Raw genomic sequence first — 27,542 nt, forward strand, 5'->3', positions numbered from 1 at the left:
TGGCCAGCCTTCAGTGGCCTTCAGCATGAAGAAGAGTGAAAAGATGGGGTCAAGAAGCGTAGACAACCTTTCCTAAGACTTGGCTTGGGAGAAGCCATGGTGAAAGGCCATGTCTGGAGGGGCTTGGGAACATTTTGAGACTGAAAAAAACAGTGAAGAAGGATGCAGAAGGGGATAGATGGAGCAGAGCCTTCGTCTGGCTGACGGCTGGGTCCAGAGAGCATGTGGTATGGCCTTGAACTGAAAGGGCAACTTGTCCCTTGCAAGAGTGAGTCTCTAGGTTGGGGGTGGCTACTGTCTTCATTTACCAGTTCTTTTTTTTTTTTTTCATACTGAGTCTCACTCTGTTACCCAGGCTGGAGTGCAGTGGCATGATCTCAGCTAACTGCAACTTCTGCTTCCCGGGTTCAATGGGTTCAAGTGATTCTCATGCCTCAGCTTGTAGCTGGGACTACAGGTGTGAGCCATCATGCGTGGCTAATTTTCATATTTTTAGTAGAGATGGGGTTTCACCATGTTGGCCAAGCTTGTCTCGAACTCCTTATCTCAGGTGATCCGCCCACCTTGGCCTCCCAAAGTGCTGGGATTATAGGCGTGAGCCACCGTGCCCTGCCTCATTCATCAATTCTTAATCGATGCCTACAGGGTGCCAGGCAATGCCTAGAGCTGGAGATTTAGCAGTCCATCATACTGACTCCTGAGGAGTAGAAGGATGTAGAATAGGCACCTGGCTCTCTTCCTCTCTGGAGGGATTTAACGCTCTTGAGCACCCCTGGCTATGACAATCTCCGGTCAGGTCTGGGAGGTTGTCAGAGATGAAGAAACCACTTCCTCATCTTGCACACAAGGAAGGCCTCACTCACTGCCCAGCAAGTCCTGTGAAGCAATAGCCAGGGGCTAAAGCAAACCCCAGCCCACACCCTGGCAGGCAGCCAGGGATGGGTGGATCAGGAAGGCTCCTGGTTGGGCTTTTGCATCAGGCTCAGGCTGGGCATAAAGGAGGCTCCTGTGGGCTAGAGGGAGGCAGACATGGGGACCATGAAGACCCAAAGGGATGGCCACTCCCTGGGGCGGTGGTCACTGGTGCTCCTGCTGCTGGGCCTGGTGATGCCTCTGGCCATCATTGCCCAGGTCCTCAGCTACAAGGAAGCTGTGCTTCGTGCTATAGATGGCATCAACCAGCGGTCCTCGGATGCTAACCTCTACCGCCTCCTGGACCTGGACCCCAGGCCCACGATGGTGAGCTTTGGGGGACATTCTGCTCTGCTCTGGCTGGGCTTGGCCACGTGTTGTTCCTTCTGCTCCTGCTGCACTGCCTGCCAGGAGGGCATCTCCCCCTTTAAATGTGGTCCCGTGTTTTCCAGGGAACCTTCTAGAGCTCGTGTCTCCTCCCAGCTCGAGAGCTTCCTGCCTTATAATTCCTGCTGTGGCAGAGATACCCTCACCCCGACCCCACGCAGGTTTTGGGACTTCTGCGAGCTCCAGGCACTAGAATGGGGTCATTGGCTCTGGGCAGTGACCTCCTCTGCTTTAAGTCTCTTCTGTACCACGTTACCCCACATAGGGAAGAACTCTATCCAGACTTTAGGTTCCAGTGGGCATGTCTTGTCCCCCAGGAAGCCCCCTGACTTCCCTTGCCCCCACCCCAGAGTGGGAGGGGCTCCTTGTTAGAGCTCATCTGAGGTCTGCTCCTACTCACTGTTCACCTAGGAGGGTAGGAATGGCTCAGTCCTCCTCCCCTCAATGCCCCAGTGCCAAGCCCAGCACCCAGTGCCCGTCGCACATCAGGTACTGTGGAAAGCCTGCCCTCTTGGTGGGGAGGTCATGGACACAAATCAGAAAATACAAGAATGGGCCTCCCCATTTCCTCCTCTGACTAGGATGGGGACCCAGACACGCCAAAGCCTGTGAGCTTCACAGTGAAGGAGACAGTGTGCCCCAGGACGACACAGCAGTCACCAGAGGATTGTGACTTCAAGAAGGACGGGGTGAGGCTGGGGGCTGGGGGTGTTGGTGGGTGCCTCCCAAGGAGCTGAACAGGGGGCACCTGGGGAATATTTCCCACTGGGATGTGGCTGGGAGGTCATGGCAAATGGTTTCAAGTTTGACCTTGAGCTTCTCCTTTCCAGCTGGTGAAGCGGTGTATGGGGACAGTGACCCTCAACCAGGCCAGGGGCTCCTTTGACATCAGTTGTGATAAGGTGAGTGGGCTGTTCTGGGATGCAGGGGCTGATGGGGGCATAGAGTGTGGACCATCCAATGGGTCAATTAACTACTCCCCCAACCCAGGACAGAGAAAGCCCCTCCTACCCAGGGCTCTTCCCCAAACCTGAGTTCCATCTCCAGGGCCGGCTCTGGAATCCCTTAGAGCGGTAGATCTCCAAGTGTAGCCCTTCCTGGGGACTCGTTAGATATGCAAATTCTCAGGCCCTACTCAGACCTACTCAGACAGACTCTGGGTAGGGCCCAGAAATTCGTATTTTGATAAGCTTTCCAGGAGATTCCGGCTTCTGTAAAGTTTGAGAGCCACTGTCTAAGAGTACTCAGCTCTCAGCCCTGTGTTCCCATCTCAGTGTTGCTGGGCTGGGCTGTGTGACCCTGCAGAGCCCCTCACTATCTCCGGGACTCTGTTTTCTCATCTTTTTATTGGGTGTAGGGATTCAATCACATGCTTCAAAGGTCACAGCCAGAGGTTGAACTGGGGCCCCAAAGCTCCTGCGGGGGCCCACGAAGAGGGGCGTCTAGGTGGGGAGGGGTCTTGGATTGACCCTGGGTACATCCCCGACAAGGAACCTGTTTCTTCCTGTACACAACCCCAGGATAACAAGAGATTTGCCCTGCTGGGTGATTTCTTCCGGAAATCTAAAGAGAAGATTGGCAAAGAGTTTAAAAGAATTGTCCAGAGAATCAAGGATTTTTTGCGGAATCTTGTACCCAGGACAGAGTCCTAGTGTGTGCCCTACCCTGGCTCAGGCTTCTGGGCTCTGAGAAATAAACTATGAGAGCAATTTCCTCAGGCTTCAGTCTCACTTGTTTTGCCTCCTCTCTCTCACCACAACTGAGCCCTTAGCTCAGGGAGTCCACGTGTGAGTGTGAGTGTGTGTGAGTGTGACACAGAGGTGGCGAGGGCAGTGTTCCATCCAGGAGGACACAGGGTAAGGCAGTAGGGCCAAGAGATCCAAGATGGCATTCCCATTCTCAGTGGAACCCCCAGTGGGGAATTAAGGAGCTCTACTCTGTGTGTGGTGGTGGGGGAATGCTGTGGAGCTGTTCCTGCTCATGGGGAGGTGACATTCAAGGGAGGGGCCAAGCGTGTTGTTAACACTCAGAGAAGCATGGTCCAGTCCCATGGGTGGCTGGCCAACTGGGTGCGGTCTCCCTGCAGGTACAATTCCCATAAAATTCCAATGCTTCCTAAAAGACTTAACTCAGGAAAGCCCATAACTCCTGGCATTTCCTCTGGCATTGGGACACATCACAGTTTCTTCAGGTGGGTAGCAGATTTAACTTGTGAGCTTGTGTTTAGGGATTGTTAAAAACAAGAATATGGCCAGACGTGGTGGCTCACACCTGTAATGCCAGGACTTTGGGAAGCGAGGCGGGTGGATTGCTTGAGGTCAAGAGTTTGAGACCAGCCTGGGCAACATAACAAACCCTGTCTCTACTAAAAATACAAAAATGAGCTGGGCATGGTGGTGCGTGCCTGTAGTCCCAGCTACTCGGGAGGCTGAGGTGGGAGGATTGCTTGAGCCTGGAAGGCAGAGGTTGCAGTGAGCTGAGATTGCGCCACTGCACTCCAGCCTGGGTGACAGGGTGAAACAAAGGTGACTGGGCTCATAAAAACCAAAAACCTGCCAGGCGTGGTGGCTCATGCCTGTAATCCCAGCACTTTAGGAGGCTGAGGCTGGTTGATCACCTGAGGTTGGGAGTTTGAGACCAGCCTGACCAACATGGAGAAACCCTGTCTCTACTAAAGTGGCAAAAATTAGCCAGGCATGGTGGCACATGCCTGTAATCCCAGCTACTTGGAAAGGCTGAGGCAGGAGAATCGCCTGAACAGGAGGCGGAGGTTGTGGTGAGCCAAGATCGTGCCACTGCACTCCAGCTGGGCAACAAGAGCGAAACTCCATCTCAAAAAAATAAAATAAAATAAAATAAAAACCAAAGACCAAGAATATGTTGGGTGTGGTGGTGCACACCTGTAATCCCAGGTACTTGGGAGGCTCAGGTGGGAGGGTCACTTGAGCCCAGGAGTTCAAGGCTGCAGTGAGCTATGATCATGCTAGTTCACTCCAGCCTGGGCAAAGGAGTGAGACCTCGTCTCTAAAACAAGCAAACAAACAAAAAAAGGAGAATCCTGCTCAGTGGAGTGAGGTGCTGTGGCTAGAAGAGACATGCAGAGTGTGACACACAGGTCGCGACTCTGTTGTGCTGGTGTTTCAGACATGGATCGTGTTCTCCCCACTCACCATTCTGTAGCCACTAGAAGCACCTGCAGCTTTTTGCTATGGGGTTGCTCAACTGGAAGTACTGGGAAGTCTATGCGCCAGGGAGCAGCCTCAACCAATGATAGGTGGGAGCTGGTGGAAAAATATTTGTTCTTCTCACCCGTGGGGGGCACACTCAGAGGTGTGTTTCACATCTCCCAGAGGTCCCCAGGTGGGCTACCCTCAACAAAGACCTGTTCATGACCACATCCTCTTCTGACTTGTTCGTTCCCTGTCTCACTTCTCTACACTCCTGCAGGTGCTTTCTGTAGTTGCTTCCCAAATACACTACTCTCACTTAAATCCTTAACTCAGGTCTGCTTCCAGGCCAACCTAAACTAAGACACAGGCATCCCTCTCTGAGAGGAAGAGAAGGCAAAACCTCACAAGAACACTTGCTTTGTTTTCTGTTATGCTTGCTTCTTCTTTTCTTTTTTGAGATGGGGTCTCACTATGTTACCCAGGCTGGTCTTGAATTCCTGAGCTCAAGCGATCTTCTTGCCTCAATTCCCAAAGCGTGAGCCACTGTGCCCTGCCCATGCTTGCTTCTTCATGACGAGCAGGTGTGGCTGATTTCAAGCAGGTTGGAGGAGGTAGATGCTTCTCACTCTGTATCATTACAGAGTGCTAGAGAGAGTTCTAGGGAGGAAACTCAGGGGCATATGCTGTGTCAGAGCCAATTGTTAAATTTTCAGGAATTTTTTTTTTTGAGACGGAGTCTCTCTCTGTCACCCAGGATGGAGTGCAGTGGCGTGATTTCGGCTCACTGCAAGCTCCGCCTCCCGGGTTCACACCATTCTCCTGCCTCAGCCTCCCGAGTAGCTGGGACTACAGGCGCCTGCCACCACTCCTGGCTAATTTTTTGTATATTTAGTAGAGACGGGGTTTCACTGTGTTAGCCAGGATGGTCTCGATCTCCTGACCTTGTGATCTGCCTGCCTTGACCTCCCAAAGTGCTGGGATTACAGGCATGAGCGACTGCGCCCGGCCTAAATTTTCAGGACTTTTTTGAGCTCGGTGTTAAATTCTTGGCGGCTTAAAATTGGCCATGGTGGGAGGCAGTATTTACACCATGGAAATCTGCAAATGCTGCAAAGCAGCATCCCCAACCCCAGCTGTCACACCACTGCCCAAACTGAGGGAGGGGTCACTCACAAGGATACCAAGAGCCTGTGCCGACTGCATCTATTTCCAGTTTCCTCCCATGATTATCCATCCTGCTACCGTGACAACCCTCTTATTACCCCTGCCCTGCCTTGCTCTTTGATAGTCTACATGGGCGTTAATGAGATGGCCCTCGTCATGAACCAGATAGATATAATCCAGGCTGGATTTTTTTTTTCAAGACGGACTCTTGCTCTGTCACCCAGGCTGGAGTGCAGTGGCGTGATCTCGGCTCGCTGCAACCTCTGCCTCCCGGGTTCAAGCAGTTCTCCTGCCTCAGCCTCCAGAGTAGCTGGGATTACAGGTGCCCGCCACGCACTCAGCTAATTTTTGTATTTTTAGTAGAGATGGGGTTTCACCATGTTGAGCAGGCTGGTCTTGAACTCCTGACCTCATGATCCGCCTGCCTCAGCCTCCCAAAGTGCTAGGATTACAGGTGTGAGCCACTGCACCTGGCCTTGGATTTTAATATTATACATTCATTGCTATTATAGTCATTTTAATCTTCTGATTTCATTTTATTTATTTATTTATTTTTTGAGATGGGGTCTCACTCTGTTACCCAGGCTGGAGTGCAGTGGCAGGATCTTGGCTCACTGCAACCTCCACCTCCCAGGCTCATGCAATCCTCCCACTTCAGCCTCCCGAGTAGCCAGAACCACAGGTGTGCACTACCACGCCCGGCTTATTTTTTGTATTTTTAGTAGAGACAAGGTTTCACCATGTTGCCCAGGCTGGTCTCAAACTCCTGAGTTCAAGTGATCTACCCACCTCGGCCTCCCAAAGTGCTGGGATTACAGGCGTGAGCTACCACGCCCGGCCCAGTATCTTGATTTTTAGCATGCAGACTAGTTTTACCTGATTTTGAACTTTATTTATTTTATTTTTTATTTTTATTTTTTATTTTTTTTTGAGATGGAGTTTCACTCTTGTTGCCCATGCTGGAGTGTAATGGGGCGATCTCGGCTCACTGCAACCTCCGCCTCTTGGGTTCAAGTGATTCTCCCGCCTCAGCCTCCCGAGTAGCTAGGATTACAGGCATGCACCACCACGCTGGCTAATTTTTTTTTTTTTTTTTGAGACAGAGTCTCGCTCTGTTGCCCAGGCTGGAGTGCAGTGGTGCAGTGTGGGCTTACTGCAACCTCAGCCTCCCAGGTTCAAGCAATTCTCCTGCCTCAGTCTCCAAAGTAGCTGGGACTACAGGCGCGTGCCATCACACCTGGCTAATTTTTTGCATTTTTAGTAGAGACAGAGTTTCATCGTATTAGCCAGGATGGTCTTGATCTCCTGACCTCATGATCCACCCACCTTGACCTCTCAAAGTGCTGGGATTACAGGTGTGAGCCGCCGTTCCCGACCTAATTTTGTATTTTTAGTGGAGACGGGGTTTCTCCATGTTGGTCAGGCTGGTCTTGAACTCATGACTTTGGGTGAACCGCCCGCCTTGGCCTCCCAAAGTGCTGTGATTACAAGCGTGAGCCACAACGCCCAGACTTGATTTTGAACTTTAAATAAGTGGAATGATATGATACATATTCTTTTTCCTGGCTTCTCTCTCTTCATATTATGTTGGTGAGATCACCTCTGTTGATGATGTGAGGTAGAGATCAAGTTTCTTTTTTTCTTTTTTCATACGGATATCTAATTGACCCAGCACCTTTTATTGAAATAATTATTTCCCAACCCCGACATATTTTTTTTTTTTTTTGAGATGGAGTCTCGCACTCTCGCCCAGGCTGGAGTGCAGTGGCGCCATCTCGGCTCACTGCAAGCTCCGCCTCCTGGGTTCACGCCCTTCTCCTGCCTCAGCCTCCTGAGTAGCTGGGACTACAGGTGCCTGCCACCACACCCAGATGATTTTTTGTATTTTTAGTAGAGATGAGGTTTCACTGTGTTAACCAGGATGGAAATCTCCTGACCTCGTGATCTACCCGCCTCTGCCTCCCAAAGTGCTGGGATTACAGGCATGAGCCACCGCGCCCAGCCTGACATATTTTTTAAATACTGTTCTATTTTCTGATTATAAAATCAAGACACATGCCAAGCATGGTAATATGTGTTTGTAGTCCCAGCTACTTGGGAGGCTGAGGCAGGAAGATCACTTGAGCTCGGGAGTTTTAGAACAGCCTGGGTAACATAGCGAGACCCCCATCTCTAAAAAATTTTTTTAAAAATTAAGACACATTAAAAAGCCTTGACAATCCTGAGCATTGATAAAGTTGTGGAGGGTGGAGCCATCCTGGGGAGCCATTTGGAAGTACCTAATAAATATGAATATATGTACACCTGTGAACCAGCCATTCTGCCCCTTGGTCTACAGCATAGAGCAGCTGTTCTCCAGGTATTGTCTGGGAACCCCTGGGGGCAACGTGAGACTTTCAGTGGGTCTGTGAGGTAAGATATATTTTTTTCTCTCTCTAAATAGCTCTTAAGTGGAGTTTTGGAGACTATGTGGTATCTGATATCTTTGGGGAACAGCTTCAACACAACATCCTGGTGACCTTGCACATATCCACATAGGCCATGCAGGCAAGTTTTGAACCACATTTTTTTTTTCTTTTTGAGATGGAATCTTGCTCTGTGGCCCAGGTTGGAGTGCTGTGGCATGGTCTCAGCTCACTGCAACCTCTGCCTCCCAGGTTCAAGTGATTCTCCTGCCTCAGCCTCCCAAGTAGCTGGGATTACAGGCGCCTGCCACCACGCCCAGCTGATTTTTTGTATTTTTAGTAGAGACGGAGTTTCACTATGTAAGCCAGGCTGGTCTTGAACCCTGACCTCAGGTGATCCATCCACCTCAGCCTCTCAAAGTGCTGGGATTATAGGTGTAAGCCACCACGTCCAGCTTGAACCACAGTTAATCTGAATCTTGGCAGAATTCCCTGTGGTCCTTCCTGGGACATGAGAGCCTAGAAGCTTGTGAGTAGCTGCTCCCCTAGGCCACTTCCAACTTGCCTCCCTATATCTCCTGGGAGGGTTCTGGTGAGATATGTGGCTTTCTGCCTTGGCCCTAAAGGGTTTAGTTGTATACTCTAAAGCCACTTAACCGGCTGGGCATGGTGGCTCACACCTATAATCCCAGCACTTTAGGAGGCAGAGGTGGGTGGATCACCTGAGGTCAGGAGTTCTAAACCAGCCTTGCCAACATGGCGAAACCCCACTACTAAAAATAACCTGTAATCCCAGTTATTCGGGAGGCAGAGGCAGGAGAATTGCTTGAACCTGGGAGGCAGAGTTTGCAGTGAGCCGAGATTGTGCCACTGCCCTCCAGCCTGGGAGACAGAGCAAGAGTCTGTCTCAAAAAAAAAAAAATTAATTAATTAGAAAAAAATGGCCTGGCACGATGGCTTATGCCTGTAATCCCAGCACTTTGGGAGGCCGAGGCAGGCGAATCATTTGAGGTCAGGAGTTCGAGACCAGCCTGGCCCACGTGGTGGAACCCTGTCTCTGCTAAAAATACAAAAGTTAGCCGAGCGTGGTGTCACGCGCCTGTAGTACCAGCTACTCGAAAGGTTGAGGCAGGAGAATCGTTTGAACCCTGGAGGTGGAGGTTGCAGTGAGCCGAGATCATGCCATTATGTTCCAGGCTGGGTGGCAGAACAAGACACCGTCTCAAAAAAAAATAAAGTAAATAAAATAAATAAAAATAAAACCACATAACCATCACAGACACTTAAAACCAACAGTAAGTGCAAAACTATGCCTACTGGTGCATGCATATTCCCTGATCTCTCTATTGTTTTCACTCCAGATCTCAGCTGCTTTAAAGAATAAAAACCTCCTTGGGGGCCTGCCTCCTCTGCATTGCCCTGCATTCCCTGAACTCCCAGCTGAGGAGATAAGGTGGTCTCCTGGCAGCTGGAGTGCCTGTGTAAAACTGTGTTTTTGCAAAAAAAGGACTTGATAGAGTTTGGACAAAACTTGCAGTGCAGAGAAAAAAAGTCAAATTAACTATGTGGTTTGGGTGGATTCATTGTGTGTAAAAATGTATAATTGGTATTAACAGTGTATTACATCTTTGAACCTTAAATGCTCATAAAATGTTAGAGAAAATTGCTTTGATGTCCAATGCTATAAATGATGTTCTGTTCATTGGCAAGCCAGAAATGTCTACTTTCTGTGTTAACAGCAGTCAGCATGGGTGACTGGTAAACCCCAACAAAACTCAGAGGACTGCTTGCCAATTAAAATTTCTTGAAACAACATGGGTGGATTCACAAGGCTAATCTCTCCGGCAGTCAAAGAACAATTGCTGCCTCTTACAAAGTAAGAACTCTGTGTTCCCAGTATTAACACTACTGCTGCATGCCAAACTTGTAACTCCTGTCAAAAGCTGGCCCATTTATCTTCTAGTAAAAAACTGGTCATACTACACAGGAGTCTGTCCCCACCTGCATCTGCAGCGATCTTTGACCTCCACCCACTCCAGGCTAATGGCTGTACTTTTCTTCCCAGGTTTTTCCTTTATTCAGGTTTTAAAGCGTTTCCGTCCATTCAGTTGACTCTGGCCCCACTGTGGCCCTTGAAACTAATCTGTTACGTTTTATTCAATGGACATTTCACAGACCCAAGTAGCTGATCCTGCCGAATGTATCGTGGAAATAGATGCTTTCAGTATGAGTGATATTTGTCCTGACCTCAAGGGATGCTCCCAATGGGGAAAGGCCACTGTTAGGACAGTGGCAGTGGGACAAGTGCACAATTGGGAGCCCACCAGGCCACACGATGGCAGTAAAGCAGCATATAATACAAGGCTGGGACGGTGCGGGGGCACTCTACCCACTAAAGAGCCAGGAGAGGCAGAAGTGCTAAAGGAAACCCGACACCCTGTGTGGACTGCCCTCCCACTCAGCCAATTAGTCCCAAAGAGCCTTAACATTAAGAGTGTGGGTGACTGGTAAGTATGCAGACTGGAGCCTGTGGCAAAAAGATGTAGCCGCTAAGCAATGATCCCCCTGTGGACGTGGATAAAGCATTTGTCTGATGCCACTACCAGGTATATCCTTTTTGAGAGGAAATTATTGGCTTGTTATTGGCTGTTAGTGGACATTGAGAGACTAACAAAGCAACAGCAGGTGTTATTATGCCCTGACATCCATGAGAGGGTCAAAAATGAAAACACCAACAAAACGGATTTTTCCCAGAAAAGAAATAAACTAAGAGTGTAACAGGAAGAGCCGCAGACAAAACCCCTCACACACAGAGTTGAGGAAGGAAAGGGCTTTATTTGGCCGGGAGCGTCGGCAGACTTATGTCTCCAAAAACCGAGCTCCCCAAGTGAGCAATTCCTGTCCCTTTTAAGGGCTTACAACTCTAAGGGGGTCCATGTGAGAGGGTCGTGATCGATCGATTGAGCAAGCAGCAGGTACATGACAGGGGGCTGCATGTACTGGTAATCAGAACCGAACAGAACAGGACAGGGATTTTCACGATGCTTTTCCATACAATGTCTGGAATCTATAGATAACACAAGCAGGTCAGGGGTTGATTTTTAACTACCAGGCCCAGGGCATGGTGTCAGGCTGTCTGCCTGTGGATTTCATTTCTGCCTTTTAGTTTTCACTTCTTTTTTCTTTGGAGACAGAAATTGGGCATAAGACAGTATAAGGGGTTGTCTCCTCCCTTAACAGTTTAACACGTGCAGGAAAAAGTGGCTAGTCACCTTCTAGATATGGCTGTCTCAAATGTGGGGTTCTGTGCCAGAGCTTCCTGGGGGCTTTGGTACACCACTGTTTCTGAAAATGCCTGGGCCTGATTCAGGGACACATCAGCTCTGTTAAAGGCTGATGGGGTGCATTGGGCCACTGCAGCTGTTCAGCCTCCAGGAAATCGGTTTGTTTTTTTTTGGGGGGGATGGAGTTTTGCTCTTCTTGCCTAGGCTGGAGTGCAATGGCACAATCTCGGCTCACTGCAACCTCCGCCTCCCAGGTTCAAGCAATTCTCCTGCCTCAGCCTCCTGAGTAGCTGGGATTACAGGCACCCACCACCACGCTCGGCTAATTTTGTATTTTTAGTAGAGACGGGATTTCACCATGTTGGTCAGGCTGGTCTCAAAATCCCGACCTCAGGTGTTCCACCCACTTCGGCCTCCGAAATTACTGGGATTACAAGCGTGAGACACCGCACCCAGCCGGAAATCTGTTTTAAACTGCAATGGAAAAGGGGAGAGAGAGTAAGAGAGAGAGCAGAGCTCTGGGTTGTGGTGTTTGCTCTGGAAAATATCTCCTACAATTCATCTTGTTAACATTTTCACTGACTGGTGGGGAGTAGCTGATGGACTGGCAATGTGGTCTGGTGCCTGGCAGTGGGGCATCTTGATGATTAAGTCTCAAAGACTGAGGTCTTTTTAGGGATGAACACTGTGGCAGCAGACTACACTGGACTCACAGCCCCGTTCATGACTCTTGTGGCTGCCCATGAAAAACGACCATTCAAAGATGAACATCGATGGAATCGACAAGTTAAACAGACCCATGCTGGCCAGGTAAGGACCACGGCCATGTGGACATACTATCACACAAGGCATGGTAATCCATCTGCAACTCAGGACTGCATCGCCAAATTTGGCATAGTGATTCCAGCACGGGAGGCTAAGGAAGTCTGGCAAGTGTGCCTGACTGCCAGCTACACAGTTGGGTGACAAAGGGAACTCCAGGGTGCATAACCAGGGGTGCTATCCCTGTCTGCACAATAGACATGGGCCAGACTATTCGAGGATTCTTAGATGGACTATGTTACATATTTAGATTCCCTGAACACGTCTAATCAACAATGGGCTACTTTTACAGTAAAAAGTACCCCAGAGGCCGGATGCTGTGGTTCACGCCTGTAATCCCAGCCCTTTGGGAGGCCAAGGTGGGTGGAACACCTAAGATCAGGAGTTTGAGACCAGCCTGACCAACGTGGCGAAATGCTGTCTCTACTAAAAATACAAAAATTAGCTGGGTGCGGTGGTGGGCACTTGTAGTCCCAGCTACTTGGGAGGTGAAGGCAGGAAAATCACTTGAATCCAGGAGACAGAGGTTGCAGTGAGCCAAGATTGCGCCATTGCACTCCAGCCTGGGTGACAGAGCGAGACTCTGTCTCAAAAAAAAAAAAAAAAAAAAAACAAAAAACTCTCCGTAGTGGTGATAAAAAGTTGCATTGCCTGACTTCTTGCTGGCTTTTTGAGGTAAGGGTATGTGCAGTCATTGAGCTCTTGCTGGGTCAGGATTAATATTTGATGACCAATAAAGATTTTTTTTTTGAGATGGAATTTTGCTCTTGTCGCCCAGGCTAGAGTGCAGTGGCTTGATCTTGGCTCACTGCAACCTCTTTCTCCTGGGTTCAAGCGATTCTTCTGCCACAGCCTCCTAAGTAGCTGGGATTACAGGCACCTGCCACCACGTCCGGGTAATTTTTGTATTTTTGTAGAGACAAGGTTTCACCATGTTGGCCAGGCTGGTCTCGAACTCCTGACCTCAGGTGATCCACCCGTCTTGGCCTCCCAAAGTGCTGGGATTACAGGCGTGAGCCACCGTGCCTGGCCAAAGATTCTTATCTATTTATAGCAACATTAAATGGACTAAGACAAAAAAAAAAGTAAAAAAAAAGATTCTTAATCTAAGGACTCTTAGAAATCTTCTGACAACTGCTGACTGCAAGAGTGAACAGCCTCCACTAGAGATGACAGAACAAGATTAACTTTCTAGGCACTGATATAATTTTCTTAAGCCTCAATCTATAATTGTTGAACTCTTTTATAGATTTTCCATAGACTATAGCAATTGCCCAATGTCCTAAGTTTAAATGATTATTGGACCCTGATCCCACTTCAGCAAAATGCTGCTGCTGAGACTGCTACTACTTTATGTGTGAATGTCAGGCCTATACTTGTCTGTGAAACACAAGCTAGTTTAAAACTCTGGCTGGGCGTGGTGGCTCACGCCTGTAATCCCAGCACTTTGGGAGGCCCAGGCGGGCAGATCATTTGAGGTCATTTGAGGCCTACATTATTTTAGGCAGATAGTGAGGGCAAAAGAGTCCTCGGCAGAACTTCCCTTTCTAACAAAAAGCAGCCCAAGAAATAACTTCTTTTCTAACAAAGCACAGCCTGAAAGATTGGGCTGCAAACATAGATAAGGAAGCTGGAAGCTTGCACGGGGGGATGCTGGCAGCTGCACTGATAGAAATGGCTACCTGGGGCCAGGCATGTCTAGCATGGGGGCTCCACTTTCTCTTTTTTGTTAGCATGTGCACAGTGAGAAAGAAATAAGCAACAAGGAGTAGCTCTCTGCTTAGGCAGAGGACCCACCTGCATAATAAAAGATTGGGGTGGAGGCTGCCAGAGATTCACATTGTATGCAGATGGTACACCTGGTCCTAACCAGTTTTTGCGCCCTATGCAGATCAGATACCACCTCCCCACCAACTCATCTATAAAAACCCTAGCATTTCACTGCTCATCAGCAGCCTATTTTTCCAGGACCCATCTCTGTAGCAGAGAGTTATTCTTTCTTTTGCCTATTACAGTTCTGCTCTAAACCTCACCCTCTGTGTGTGTCACATGTCCTTGATCCCTGTGACTATGAGACCAAGGACCTCAGATGTCACCCCAGACAACAAGGCCACTTCAGTAGGGGAAGAGGGGAAGGGCTCTATCCTGTGACCTTGCACATAACCATGCAGCCTCTCAGGCAAGACTTTAACTGCAGTGAATCTGAGTCTTGGCAGAACACCTTGTAATCCTCCTGGAACACAAACTCCTGGGAGGCTTGTGAGGATCCTCTCTAATGCCATCTTCCGTTTATCTCCCTGTCTCCCTTATGAGAGTTTTTGTTTGTTTGTTTGTTTGTTTGTTTGTTTTTTTGAGACATAAGTCTCACTGTCGCCTAGGCTGGAGTGCAGTGGAGTTCACTGCAACCTCCGCCTCCCTAGTTCAAGCGATTCTCCTGCCTCAGCCTCCTGAGTAGCTAGGATTACAGTCACGTGCCACCATGCCTGGCTAATTTTTGTATTTTTAGTAGAGACGGGGTTTCACCATGTTGGTCAAGCTGGTCTCGACCTCCCGACCTCAGGTGATCTGCCCACCTCCGCCTCCCAAAGTGCTGGGATTACAGGCACGAGCCAGAGCGCCCAGCCTCCTTATGAGGGTTTTGATTAAGTATGTGGCTTTCTGCGCTGGCTCCCCAGGGTACAGCTGTAGGCTATAAAATTGCTCAATTGCAGTCTAGAATTGGCTCCTCAGCAACAGGCTGTCCTATTATTCGTGATGTAGTCATCTGGTCCCTTTTGTTTTGGTGTCACTTAGTATAAAGGCCGCAAGGAGCTGACACCTTTGGCACTTTTCCTTTTGCTGTCTATATGTGTAATAAAATGTTAAAATTGAAGAAAGGTTCACTGTTACTTAACCCATCAGTTCTGTCAGGAGTTTGCTTGGTCCTCCTGCTATTACAACAGCTTAACAGCTATTACAACAGATTGGATGCAGAAGCAGATGGAAAATTCAGCTTATTTATTTATTTATTTATTTATTTTGGTGGAGTTTTAGCTCTTGTTGCCCAGGCTGACGTGCAATGGTGCAATCTTGGCTCACTGCAACCTCCGCCTCATTCAAGCGATTCTCCTGCCTCAGCCTTCCGAGTGGCTGGGATTACAGGCACACACCACCATGCCCAGCTAATTTTTTTGTATTTTTAGTAGAGACGGTGTTTCACCATGTTGGCCAGGCTGGTCTCAAACCCCGGACCTCAGGTGATCCACTTGCCTCGGCCTCCCAAAATGCTGGGATTACAGGCGTGAGCCACTGCACTCTGTTAGCTTCTTCTATTGAGTATTAATTTGCAAAACTGTAAAATAATGCCTCTTTTGTTACTAAATTTTTTAAAGGAAATCATATTTTCATAAAAATATGTTAACAAGTAATGGGTTTATTATTGTTTTTAAAATGAATATATACATATATGAAATTTCTGCATTGAAATATCTAGTTTGGTAAATAGTGATGAATTTAGCTCACACAAACAAAAGTATAACCATCCAATGGGTCCACCTTCCCTGCTGCCTAGACAGAGCCAGTTTATCAAAGACAGCAAAATTGCAATAGAAAAAGAGTAATTCGGCTGGGCGCGGTGGCTCACGCCTGTAATCCCAGCACTTTGGGAGGCCGAGGCAGGCCGATCACGAGGTCATGAGATCGAGACCATCCTGGCTAACACAGTGAGACCCCGTCTCTACTAAAAATACAAAAAATTAGCCGGGCGTGTTGGCGGACGCCTGTAGTCCCAGCTAATGGGGAGGCTGAGGCAGGAGAATGGCATGAACCCGGGAAGCGGAGCTTGCAGTGAGCTGAGATGGTGCCACTGCACTCCAGCCTGGGCGACAGAGCAAGACTCCGTCTCAAAAAAAAAAAAAAAAAAAAGAGTAATTCATGCAGAGCCGGCTGTGCGGAAGACCAGAGTTTTATTATTACTCAAATCAGTTTCCTCAAAAACTCAGAGATCAAAATTTTTAAGGATAATTTGGTGGGAAGGGGGCCAGTGAATCAGGGTGCTGATTGGTTGGCTCGGGATGAAATCATAAGGAGTTGAAGCTGTTCTCTTAGGCTGAGTCAGTTCCTAGGTGGTGGCCACAAAACTGGTTGGCAGGTCCAGCTGGGGCCGTTCAGTTGTCAGAAATGCAAAAATCTGAAAAGACATCTCAAAAGGCCAATCTTAGGTTCACAATAGTGATGTTATCTTTAAGAGTAATTGAGGGCTGGGCGTGGTGGCTCACGCCTGGAATCCTACCACTTTGGGAGGCCAAGGTGGGCGGCTCACCTAGGTCAGGAGTTTGAGACCAGCCTGACCAACATGGAGAAACCCCGTCCTTACTAAAAATACAAAATTAGCCGGGCGTGGTGGCGCATGCCTGTAATTCCAGTTACTCCGGAGGCCGAGGCAGGATAATTGCTTGAACTCGGGAGGAGGAGGTTGCAGTGAGCCGAGATCGCACCATTGCACTCCAGCCTGGGCTCAAAAAAAAAAAAAAAAAAAAACCAACCTTGGCCGGGCGCGGTGGCTCACGCCTGTAATCCCAGCACTTTGGGAGGCCGAGGCGGGTGGATCATGAGGTCAGGAGATCGAGACCATCCTGGCTAACAAGGTGAAACCCCGTCTCTACTAAAAATACAAAAAATTAGCCGGGCGCGGTGGCGGGCGCCTGTAGTCCCAGCTACTGGGGAGGCTGAGGCAGGAGAATGGCGTGAACCCGGGAAGCGGAGCTTGCAGTGAGCCGAGATTGCGCCACTGCAGTCCGCAGTCCGGCCTGGGCGACAGAGCGAGACTCCGTCTCAAAAAAAAAAAAAAAAAAAAAAAAAAAACCAACCAAAAAAAAAAAGAATCCAAAAATATTAGCGGGGTATGGTGGTGCGTGCTTGTAATCCCGGCTACTCAGGAGGTTGAGGCAGGAGAATCGCTTGAACCCAGGAGAGGGAGGTTGCAGTGAGCCGAGATGGCACCACTGCACTCCAGCATGGTAGACAGAGTGAGACTCCGTGTTCTTTTCCCTAAAAAAAAAAAAAGAGTAATTGGGGAAGTTGTGCTTCAAAAGAGTAATTGGGGAAGTTGTGCGTCTTAGGGCCTCTGGAATAATGGCTGGTAATATTTAGAATTCCAGCCCTTCTCATCCTAATTTGGTGGCTGGTGGCCTTTCATTCATTTTACAAGAACAGTTTAGCCCTTGGGAAGGGCTATTATTTAAGCTATAAACTGAATTCCTTCCCAAGGCTACTTTGGCCTATGCCCAGAAGTGGACAAAGACAGTTTAGAGGTTGAAAGGAAGATGAGGTGGGTTAGATCTGATATCTTTTACTGTCATTGATAAGGCTCTGATGACTGGAGGAACACCAGGGTCCTTGGTCTCTGATAGGCTTAATAACACAGACACACGTGGAGTGGTTTTAAGGAGCGAAAAGTTTAATAGGCAAGAAAGAAGGAAGGAAGACGAAAACAGCTCCCCCATACAGAGACAGAGGGAGCGGGGATTCCAACAAAGAGAAAGCGCCGTGTGCGGAAAAGTGGCTGCTTATCTGAGGATGCTGGAGGAGGCGGTGTCTGGTTTCCATAGGGCTCAGGGGATTAGTTTGATCAGATGTGTCATTTATGTGGCAGCCAAAAACCTGGCCCTCCCACCCTAGCTTTTTAATATGCAAATGTAGGGCTCCATGAAGTTCTACACACGTGGGAATATGTGGGGGGTGGCCATGTTGCCAGGCACATGTCAGGGCAAAGAAAAGGACGGCGGGAATCGCCATGTTTGGGTGCGTCCAGTTTCTAATGGCCTGTATTTCCATATCAAAGCTTGCCATCCTGCTCTAGGAGCCCAGGCTTTCCTGCTAGACAAGAAACCTTTCTGGAGCTGCTTTAAAAGAAACAAAAACTTCCCAAGGACCCCTTTCCTTCTCTATCTGCTTAAAATAATTTCTTAATAACTCCTATAACATCATAATTTCCTTAGGTATAATTTTGCAAAGGCGGTTTCAAAAGCTCTTTGGGGTCCTCAGTAATTTTTAAGAGTGTAAAAGGATTTTAACAACAACAAGTTTGCGAACCACTGTCCTTGAGAAGCTCTCCATGGATGCGCATGAGTCTGTCCAATTGGAGTCCTGGTGTATTTCTACATTAGATACCACACAGCAGTGAACACACAATGAACAGGTCAACACGTGTCATTATAGAACTGCGCAAAAGAGCTAGTAGCAGGCATTGTAAGTGTATTTATATAATGTTTACAACCATGGAAAACAACACTATATTTTGCTTATGGGTACCTGTGGTAAGCACAACCCCAAATATTGCGGCCGAGGGGGACCTAGAAGGTCAAAGTGCGCCTCAGCATTTTCTCTCGCCCTGCACAAGCCGCATTTCGCCCCGAGAACTACGCTTCCCGGCAGGCTGCGCGCCGCGCGGTGACGCACTTCACCCAGTCCTGCTTCTTTCTTCTGGCGCCGCCAGTGGCCCGCGGTGCGCATTCTAATCCGTTTCACACACGGTGCTGCTACCTCGTTTGCTTCGTGCGTGCGTGCGCGCGCAGATGTGGGCCCCGCGGGAGCAGCTACTGGGCTGGACTGCGGAAGGTGAGTCGGGGCCGCGAGATCGCCTCCCCCATTCGGTGCTCCAGCCGCAGGCGCCGCGCAGGCGTCGGCCGTATCCACCAGGGATGCGCGTGGGGTGCGAGCTGTGTGAGGCGCTGACTACCCCTACAGCGGCTCTTACTCCCCTGGGGGGCCAGGTTCCTCCCTAGGTGTCCCGTACAGTCTCCACGGTGCTCACTCCACGACTCTTCACCGGGCATCCTGCACTTGTGCACTCCGGCAGTCATTGGCCATAAATGGCTGCTGAGCATTTGAGATGTGTGGAGTGCAACTGAAGAACAGCATTTTGTATTATTATATTATATCATATTTATTTTGAGACGGAGTCTCGCTCTGTCGCCCAGGCTGGAGTGCAGTGGCGCGATCTCCGTTCACTGCAATCTCCGTCTCCCGGGTTCAAGCAGTTCTCTGCCTCAGCCTGCCGAGCAGCTGGGATTACAGGCGCCCTCCACCACGCCTGGCTAATTTTTGTATTTTTAGTAGAGACGGGGATTTCACCATGTTGGCCAGGCTGGTTTTGAACTCCAGACCTCGTGATCCGCCCACCTCGGCCTCCCAAAGTGCTGGGATTACAGGCGTGAGCCACCGCGCCCGGAGTATATTATATTTTTATATTTTTTGAGTCGGTCCGGAGTGCAGTGGCGGGATCTAGGCTCACTGCAGCCTCCGCTTTCCCAGGCTCAAGTGATTCTCGTGCCTCAGCTTCCGGAGTAGCTGGGATTACAGGCGGCGCCTCACCACCCCGGCTGTTGTATTTTTAGTAGAGAGGGGATTTCGCCATATTTGCCAGGCTGGTCTCGAACTCCTGGCCTCAAGCAATCCACCCACCTTGGCCTCCCACAATGTTGGGATTACAGGTGTTAGCCACCCCACCCGGCCCAAAAGACTTTTTTTTTGGAGACAGAGTCTTGCTCTGTAGCCCAGGCTGGAGTGCAGTGGGCGATCTCTGCTCACTGCAACCTCTTTCTCCCAGGTTCCAGCGATTCTCCTGCCTCAGCCTACCAAGCGGCTGGAATTACAGGGACACGCCACCACGCCCGGCTATTTTTTTGTATTTTTAGTAGAGGCGGGGTTTCATCATGTTGGCCAGGCCGGTCTTGAACTCCTGACCCCAGATGATCCACCTGCCTCGGCCTCCCAAAGTGTTGGGATTACAGGTGGGAGCTACCACACCCGGCCCCAAATGACTTTGGATGTAACAACAGGAACAGTCTAGAACAGGGCTGGGCAAATTTTTTTCTGTTTGGTTTTTTTAGAAACAGGGTCTCCCTATGTTGCCCAGGCTGGTCTCCAACTCCTGGGCTCAAGGGATCCTCCCGCCTCGGTCTCCCAAAGTGCTAGGATTATAGGCGTGAGCCACTGCACCTGGTCTTGCAAACGTTTTCTTTTAAGGGCCAGGTGGTAAATGTTTCAGGCTTTGTAGGCCACACGGTCTTTGTTACGACTAGTGGTCTGCTGTTGTGTGAAAGCAGCCAAAGACCATAGGTAAACGAATGAGCATTGCCGTGTTCCAATAAAACTTTCTTTATAGACATTGAAATTTGAATTTTGGCTGAGTGCAGTGGCTCACGCCTGTAATCCCAGCACTTTGGGAGGCCAAGGCAGGAGGATCTCTTGAGCCCAGGAGTTCAAGACCAGCCTGGTCAACATGGCAACACCCCATCTCTACTTTAAAAATAAAATAAAATAAAATAAGCTGGGTGTGGTGCCGTACACCTGTAATCCCAGCTACTCTGAGGCTGAGGCGCAAGAATTGCTTGAACCTTGGAGGCAGAGGTTTCAGTGAGCCGAGATCGCATGACTGCACTCCAGCTTGGGTAACAGAATGAGACTCTAAAAAAAAAAAAGGAAATTTGAATTTCATATATAATTTTCATTATTATGAAATATTCTGTTTCTGATTTTTTTTTCAGCCAATTAAAAATGTAAAAACTGGCCCAGCATGGTGGCTCACGCCTGTAATCCCAGCACTTTGGAAGGCTGAGGCTAGGATCACTTGAGCCCAGAAGTTTGAGACCAGCCTGGGCAACATAGTGAGACTTCATCTTTGTGTTAAAATTTTTTTTTTCTGAAGTAAAGACTATTCTTAGCCTTTGGGTGGTATAACAACAGGTGGCAGGCTGGATTTGGCTTGTGTGTAGTTTGCCAAGCCATTGTTCAGCATGTAGCTGTTTGTCCTGTGTGGGAGCCCTTGTGCCTCCTTCCATCCACTCTTTGAGGGTGGTGGGCTTTGTCTCTGCCTACTGTGCCAAGACCAGTTCAATTGGATAGCAAAGCTAAAGAAAGTAAAGACAATGGACCGGGCGCGGTGACTCACGTTTGTAATCACAGCACTTTGGGAGGCTGAGGCGGGTAGATCACCTGAGGTCAGGAGTTCGAGACCAGCCTGGCCAACATAGTGAACCTCTATCTCTACTAAAAATACAAAAATAGCTGGGCTTGGTGGTGCGCGCTTGTAATCCCAGCTACTCAGAAGGCTGAGGCAGGAGGTGGAGGTTGCAGTGAGCTTAGATCGCGCCACTGTATTCTAGCCTGGGCACCAAGAGTGAAAGTCTGTCTCAAAAAAAAAAAAAAAGGCAGTAACACTAAGTTGAACTTTAGAAGGATAATAACTTTTCCCTCTTGTCATGAGTGGCAAAGAAGATGTTTTGTGGTCACAGAGCTAGAAAGGTTCTTTGACTTGCTTAAGTGCTTCCCAGATGTGTCCAACATGGGCGGAGGCACATCGTGAGGTCCTGGAGTGTGCCTGTGATTCAGCACCTGTTCCCTTTTTGGAGGACTTATTTGCCTCTCTGAAGGATTTGCCTGTGAGTGGTCTCATGCTGGGGAGAGGCACCTAAGGAGTCAGGGCAGAGTCAGGACTCAGGAGGTAGGATCCCTTAGTTCAGCTGTGTGAGGTTACTCTGTGTCCCTCATTTTTTTCCCACCTGCTCAGTGGGATCAGAACCACCTGTCCCTCTGGAAGGGAGAGGCTTAGATGGTCTTTTTTGCTGAAAAGACTGAGGAGCTGCCTCCTTGCCTTGTGCTTTGCTCAGATGTAGCCACTGGGAGTGGCCAAATAATGGTACTCAGTTTTTCTTCTTCTAAAACTTTAGAACTTGAAATAGTAAGATTGCTTTGTTTTCCTCCTGAGTTTAGTCAGGAAAACAGTAACTTGGAAAATTACCCCAGACAGTTATCAAACAAGACTATAATTTTATATATATATTTTTAATTTTAAAATGCTGCTCCATTTACACAAAAATGTGCAGTTCTGGATAGATACATAGTATAGGCACATATTATGGGGCCAGGATGATGGTTTTCTAGGGCATGCAAGAGGAGAAATTGTATATATGTCTTTATGAAATCACTTGACACATTCTCATCACTTAGTACAAAAGCCAGAGTTGTTGCTGGGGTCTGTTTAGAGTGTTTTCCAGGGGTGATGATTTCAGCAGGGGTGATGTCATTATCACATTTAGGGCCTTTTTTTTTTTCTTGCAAACCCAAGGACAAGGCTACCCTTAGCCTAATTCCCCACAGTAACTGCACTATTACTCTGGGGAGCTCAAAAATAGATGGGACGAATTATAAGCTTTTTTTTTTTTTTTCTTTGAGATGGAGTTTTTTACTCTTGTTGCCCAGGCTGGAGTGCAGTGGCACCATCTCAGCCCACTGGAACCTCCGCCTCCCGGGTTCAAGTGATTCTCCTGCCTCAGCCTCCCGAGAAGCTGGGATTACAGGCATGCGCCACCACACCTGGCTAATTTTTGCGTTTTTGGTAGAGATGGGGTTTCACCATGTTGGCCAGGCTGGTCTCGAACTACTTACCGCCCACCTTGGCCTCCCGAAGTGCTGGGATTATGGGCTTGAGCCACGCCCAGCCATTATAAGCTTATATGTATCTTTTCAGAGACAGGGTTTCCCCGGCTCTGTCACTGAGGCTGGAGTATAATGGTGTGATCTCTCACTTCATTGCAACCTTTGCCTCTGGGGCTCAAATGATCCTGCCACTTCAGCCTCCCAAGTAGCTGGGGCTACAGGTGTACACCACCACGCCCGGCTAATTTTTTTATTTTTTGTAGAGATGGGGTTCACCATTGCCCAGGTTGATCTTGAACTTCTGGGCTCAAGCAATCAGCCCACCTCGGCCACCTAACGTGCTGGGATTACAGGCATGAGGCACCGTGCAGAGCCTGGCCAGCTTCTATGTATCTTATAAACACATATGCCTGGAATAAAGGGTGTCAAGGAGGAAGCTTCAGACTGCTGCTAAGACCCTCGTCCCCCTGAGAGGCACTCCCTTCCCCAGACTCTGTCCCTTCTACAAAGGCACAGGTCACAGGTTAGAAATATGACATCCCAGTTCCTTTTCTGAACTTTCAGAATCAGTGACACCCAAGGATCAGAAAAACATTCTTCTTTCCCCTCAGCAAAGATATGGAAGAGAAGGCTGGGCGCGGTGGCTCACGCCTGTAATCCCAGCATTTGGGAGGCCGAGGCAGGCAGATCACCTGAGGTCAGGAGTTCGAGACCAGCCTGGCCAACATGGTGAAACCCTGTCTCTACCAAAAATACGAAAATTAGCCAGGCATGGTGGCAGGTGCCTGTAATCCCAGCTACTTGGGAGGCTGATGCAGGAGAATTGCTTGAACCCAGGAGGCGGAGGTTGCAGTGAGCTGAGATCGTGCCATTGACCTTCAGCCTGGGTGACAGAGTGAGACTCTGTCTCAAAAAAAAAAAAACAGATATGGCAGGGAAAGCTTGAGCTTCCCTCCAGAGATGTTAAAATCTTACCTTTTAAAATTCCACAATAGGCCAGGCGTCGTGGGTCATGCCTATAATCCCAGCACTTTGAGAGGCCAATGTGGGCAGATCACTTAAGGTCGGGAGTTCGAGACCAGCCTAGCCAGCATGGTGAAACCCCCATCTCTACAAAAAATACAAAAATTAGCTGGGCATGGTGGTGCATGCCTGTAATCCCAGGGAAGTTGAGGTGGGAGGATCACTTGAGCCCAGGAGGTGGAGGTTGTAATGAGCAGAGATTGTGCCACTGCATTCCAGCCTGGGCAATAGTGAGACCCTATCTCAATCAATCAATCAATCAATCAGTTCCACAATAATTTGAAGAGGAATGAGAGTCTGACAAGCTGCGCTTTAGAAATGCTGTTGTAATGGTCTTTAATACTTTTTTCTCCTTTTACTCATGCTCTTTTGTAAAATAAGGAATAACATTGACAAGTTTTTAAAACAATATAATAATTATTATTTTTATTATTAGAGATGTGGGTCTCATTGTCACCCAGGCTGGTCTTGAAGCCGTGGATTCAAGTGATCCTCCCACCTCAGCCTCCCAAAGTGTTAGGATTACAGGCGTGAGCCACTGAAACCGGCCTGACACATTTTTAAAAAATATTTTCATTAAATCACAGACTTCTGTTTCTGTGTTTAACATTTTCTTTTTTTTTTCTTGAGACGGAGTCTCGCTCTGTCGCCCAGGCCGGAGTGCAGTGGTGCGATCTCGGCACACTGCAAGCTCTGCCTCCCGGGTTCATGCCATTCTCCTGCCTCAGCCTCCTGAGTAGCTGGGACTACAGGTGCCCGCCACCACACCCAGCTAATTTTTTGTATTTTCAGTAGAGATGGGGTTTCACTGTGTTAGTCAGGATGGTCTCGATCTCCTGACCTTGTGATCGGCCTGCCTCGGCCTCCCAAAGTGCTAGGATTACAGGCGTGAGCCACCGCGCCTGGCCTAACATTTTCATAAACTATTTTCGAGATGGAGTTTTGCTGTTGCCCAAGCTGGAGTGCAGTGGCGTGATCTCTGCTCACTGCAACCTTCGCCCCCTGGGTTCAAGCGATTCTCCTGCCACAGCCTCCTGAGTAGCTGGGATTATAGGCGTGCACTACCATGCCTGGCTAATTTTTTTATTTTTAGTGGAGTTGGGGTTTCTTTGTCATGTTGGTCAGACTGGCCTCAAACTCCTGACCTCAAGTCATCTGCCTGCCTCGGCCTCCCAAAGTTCTGGTATTATAGGCGTGTGCCACTGTGCTCGGTCCATTTTCATAAATTAAAAAAAAACATGTAACTAGAGTCACATAACACATGGGGGGAAATGATGCCTTGTCTCAACAGTTTTGCTAATTTTTAGGGTAGAAAGATGATGAGTGCTTAGAGTTTACCTTACTACATTTAATTAAGATCAGTGTTTCTGTAAAAATGTAATAGGGAAGTGGTGCAGAGCATAGAGAAGTTGACTCAAGCATAAGGCAGGAGGTGAGAGGAGCTCAGGGTCTGGGTCAGCTGAGAAGGCTCAGGTGGCCACAGCCAAGGCTCAGAGGGCTCTTGGGGATCCTCATGATGGGCCTGGTAGGGCTGGCTTCTCAAGGTTGCTTCTTTCTTTCCCCAGCTCTGCCTGCCAAGGATTCTGCCTGGCCCTGGGAAGAGAAGCCTAGATATCTGGTGAGTTGGGCCCGCCCTTCTCTTTTCTGAAATGCTGGCTCATTTCTCAGAGAATGGGCTCATCTGTCTTTCTTGGGAAGGGAGGAAGTGATTAACATTTAAGTGGTTTATGCCTTGTGTTAGCCATTGTTCTAGGCTTATTATAATGGTTTTTGCACTTAGTCTTTCTATTTTTTGAGCTTATACAAAAACATGACCAAGTTTAATTTTAATTCAGAGTATTCTAAAATATAATGGTAACTTTTTATAAAAACCTTGGGTTATTAAGATCCTAAAATGCACTATTAAAGTTCCCTACATCAACATTTGCACAAATAGTTATAACACTTTAATAGTATCTAATAGTCTGATCTTGTACATTGGACCTCTTTTTCACATTTTGTTTTAGAAAACAAAGATGCAAAAGTAGAAAAAGAGTTAACTCTTCTGTATCCATCATCCCACTTCAGCAGTTATCAACTCATGGCCAATTTTATTTCATCTCCATTCCCACTGGATTAAAGAAAATCCAAGGCATCATACCATTTAATCCATAAATATTTCAGTCCTGTGTTTAAATCATTAACAGCTGTAGGAGATGGGTGGTGACATCCCCATTTTCGAGATGAGATCATCTGGCTTAGAGGGATTACGTGATTTATGCACAGGGACACGTGGATGGCCAAATGGTAGAGTCAGGAATTAAATCCAGATTTCTCTGATCTCAAACCATGAATTTTCTGTGATGCCTTCTTGACTGTTTTTTTCTCCTAGAAAACTACCCAATGATAAAAGAACACACTTTCCAACTCTACGAAATGGGGTTATGTTTTGGATGAAGAGCCTCATAGAGTTCACCCCCTTGTTCTGATGTTGCATATCCCTCTCCCCCAACCCCTGTGATCTTTGCTATACCAGAAATTTAATTTATTGGTTTCTGGGCACAGGACTGTGTGAGATTCTGGGAGCTAGCCAAATAGAGTTGTTAAATTCACTGTCCTTATTCTCAAAGATCCAAGATTCTTTAGGAAATGATGCATAGAGACAGGAAATAATGACACTGGTAATAATTATGATGAAGACAGCTAAAACTGTAAAATAGTACAGGGAAAGACTAAGTGTTAGCCTGTAGCTGTTAAAACAATGCACAGCCACAAAGAATGGTCTTAGGTTTGGATTGATAATCAAATTCATGGTATGCAATGTACTTTAACCCTGCATTAAATTCGCGTAGCTTCATGAAGGGATAGAGTATAGGAGACATAGTAGGCACACCATTCTTCTCAGGAGGTTTTGTACCAGTCTCTAGGGCAGCTTCCAGGCCATAGGGGCCAAGCTTGATTGATACAGATGAGGGTGACTTGGGAGCAAATTACTTCATTATCAGGGAAGCAGCTGCCTTTATCCTTTATTTTCCCGTATTCCCTTCTCTGCCCCAACCTTTTTTTTTCTTTTTTTTTTTTGAGACAGAGTTTCGCTCTTGTCGCCCAGGCTGGAGTGCAATGGCATGATCTCGGCTCACTGCAACCTCCGCCTCCTGGATTCAAGCGATTCTCCTGCCTCAGCCTCCTGAGTAGCTGGGATTACAGGCACGCACCACCACACACAGCTAATTTTTGTATTTTTAGTAGAAACAGGGTTTCACCATGTTAGCCAGGCTGGTCTCGAACTCCTGACCTCAGGTGATCTGCCTGCCTCGGCCTCCCACAGTGCTGGGATTATAGGCATGAGCCACTGCGCCCGGCCCATCTTATGTTTTCATGCGCTTCAGAGTAAGTTGCAGATCTCAATACATTTCACCTCTGAATACTTCAGCATGCATATTATTAAGTAGAATTCAATATCGTTTCTGATTTTTTTCTGAGGTAAAATGTACATACAGTGAAATGCACAAATTTTGAGTTTACCTTTTGAGTTCAGCACTTCTATAGCTATTCGTTAGGCATTCACATAGCTTCCTTTTTTTGATGTGTCTGTTCAAAGTTTTGACACATTTAAAACAATTTATGATTGACATATAATGTTTGTACCTTTTTATGGGGTACAATGTGATGTTTTCACACATGTATACCTTGCGTAATGATCAAATCGGGGTAATTAGCATATCCATCACCTTAAACATTTATCGTTTCTTTGTGATGAGAACATCCAAAAGCCTCTTTTCTAGCTATTTTGAAATATACAATTCTGGCTGGGAACAGTGGCTCATACCTGTAATGCCAGCACTTTGGGAGGCCAAGATGGGCGAATCACCTGAGGTCAGTAGTTCGAGACCAACCTGGCCAACATGGTGAAAACCCATCACTACTAAAAATACAAAAATTAGCTGTGTGTGGTGGCGGGTGCCTATAATCCCAGT

The 27,542-nt window shown here is 48.0% G+C and overlaps 2 protein-coding genes across 2 annotated transcripts in view, besides 8 other annotated features; both read left to right on the forward strand.

The window, feature by feature from the left end:
* Window positions 367–486: an enhancer, noted in NCBI's record as "active region_19823". NCBI's record gives its function as "activates an Ori minimal core promoter by ATAC-STARR-seq in GM12878 lymphoblastoid cells {active_cell/tissue: GM12878}" and the evidence as "EXISTENCE:reporter gene assay evidence [ECO:0000049][PMID:35858748]".
* Window positions 507–636: an enhancer, noted in NCBI's record as "active region_19824". NCBI's record gives its function as "activates an Ori minimal core promoter by ATAC-STARR-seq in GM12878 lymphoblastoid cells {active_cell/tissue: GM12878}" and the evidence as "EXISTENCE:reporter gene assay evidence [ECO:0000049][PMID:35858748]".
* Window positions 647–696: an enhancer, noted in NCBI's record as "active region_19825". NCBI's record gives its function as "activates an Ori minimal core promoter by ATAC-STARR-seq in GM12878 lymphoblastoid cells {active_cell/tissue: GM12878}" and the evidence as "EXISTENCE:reporter gene assay evidence [ECO:0000049][PMID:35858748]".
* Window positions 706–1,000: a silencer, noted in NCBI's record as "tiled region #12857; K562 Repressive DNase matched - State 8:EnhW". NCBI's record gives its function as "represses a minimal TATA promoter and a strong SV40 promoter by Sharpr-MPRA in K562 cells {active_cell/tissue: K562}" and the evidence as "EXISTENCE:reporter gene assay evidence [ECO:0000049][PMID:27701403]".
* Window positions 1,022–3,012, forward strand: CAMP (cathelicidin antimicrobial peptide). Its single transcript, NM_004345.5, has 4 exons — window positions 1,022–1,239; window positions 1,881–1,988; window positions 2,130–2,201; window positions 2,820–3,012. Exons 1-4 carry the CDS (start codon window positions 1,039–1,041, stop codon window positions 2,949–2,951), a joined length of 513 nt encoding a protein of 170 aa, NP_004336.4. The 5' UTR covers window positions 1,022–1,038; the 3' UTR covers window positions 2,952–3,012.
* Window positions 6,714–7,213: an enhancer, noted in NCBI's record as "H3K4me1 hESC enhancer chr3:48270677-48271176 (GRCh37/hg19 assembly coordinates)". NCBI's record gives its function as "activates a minimal SCP1, AML or CMV promoter by ChIP-STARR-seq in primed H9 embryonic stem cells {active_cell/tissue: H9 hESC(primed)}" and the evidence as "EXISTENCE:reporter gene assay evidence [ECO:0000049][PMID:30033119]".
* Window positions 17,786–18,080: an enhancer, noted in NCBI's record as "tiled region #8193; HepG2 Activating non-DNase unmatched - State 7:EnhWF, and K562 Activating non-DNase unmatched - State 5:Enh". NCBI's record gives its function as "activates a minimal TATA promoter and a strong SV40 promoter by Sharpr-MPRA in HepG2 cells, with weaker activity in K562 cells {active_cell/tissue: HepG2 | K562}" and the evidence as "EXISTENCE:reporter gene assay evidence [ECO:0000049][PMID:27701403]".
* Window positions 18,398–19,315: an enhancer, noted in NCBI's record as "NANOG-H3K27ac-H3K4me1 hESC enhancer chr3:48282361-48283278 (GRCh37/hg19 assembly coordinates)". NCBI's record gives its function as "activates a minimal SCP1, AML or CMV promoter by ChIP-STARR-seq in naive and primed H9 embryonic stem cells {active_cell/tissue: H9 hESC(naive and primed)}" and the evidence as "EXISTENCE:reporter gene assay evidence [ECO:0000049][PMID:30033119]".
* Window positions 18,506–18,800: an enhancer, noted in NCBI's record as "tiled region #9849; HepG2 Activating DNase matched - State 1:Tss, and K562 Activating DNase unmatched - State 1:Tss". NCBI's record gives its function as "activates a minimal TATA promoter and a strong SV40 promoter by Sharpr-MPRA in HepG2 and K562 cells {active_cell/tissue: HepG2 | K562}" and the evidence as "EXISTENCE:reporter gene assay evidence [ECO:0000049][PMID:27701403]".
* ZNF589 (zinc finger protein 589) overlaps window positions 18,631–27,542 on the forward strand; it is a 29,887-nt gene continuing 20,975 nt past the window's right edge. Inside the window, exons 1-2 of the mRNA NM_016089.3 lie at window positions 18,631–18,741; window positions 25,152–25,204. Of these exons, the coding sequence (NP_057173.2) occupies window positions 18,699–18,741; window positions 25,152–25,204 (96 nt within the window). The 5' untranslated portion in view covers window positions 18,631–18,698. The remainder of the gene's footprint in view (window positions 18,742–25,151; window positions 25,205–27,542) is intronic.

Source organism: Homo sapiens, chromosome 3 (assembly GCF_000001405.40).
Source record: "Homo sapiens chromosome 3, GRCh38.p14 Primary Assembly".
Taxonomy (NCBI): Eukaryota; Metazoa; Chordata; class Mammalia; order Primates; family Hominidae; genus Homo; species Homo sapiens.

What these genes read in the sequence shown, in the direction of transcription:
- CAMP (NM_004345.5), top strand. Translation starts at nt 1,039, where the DNA reads ATGAAGACCCAAAGGGATGGCCACTCCCTGGGGCGGTGGTCACTGGTG. An exon ending in GTGACTTCAAGAAGGACGGG is followed by an intron (nt 1,989 to 2,129) that starts GTGAGGCTGGGG and finishes TCTCCTTTCCAG; the next exon opens with CTGGTGAAGCGGTGTATGGG. An exon ending in TTGACATCAGTTGTGATAAG is followed by an intron (nt 2,202 to 2,819) that starts GTGAGTGGGCTG and finishes ACACAACCCCAG; the next exon opens with GATAACAAGAGATTTGCCCT.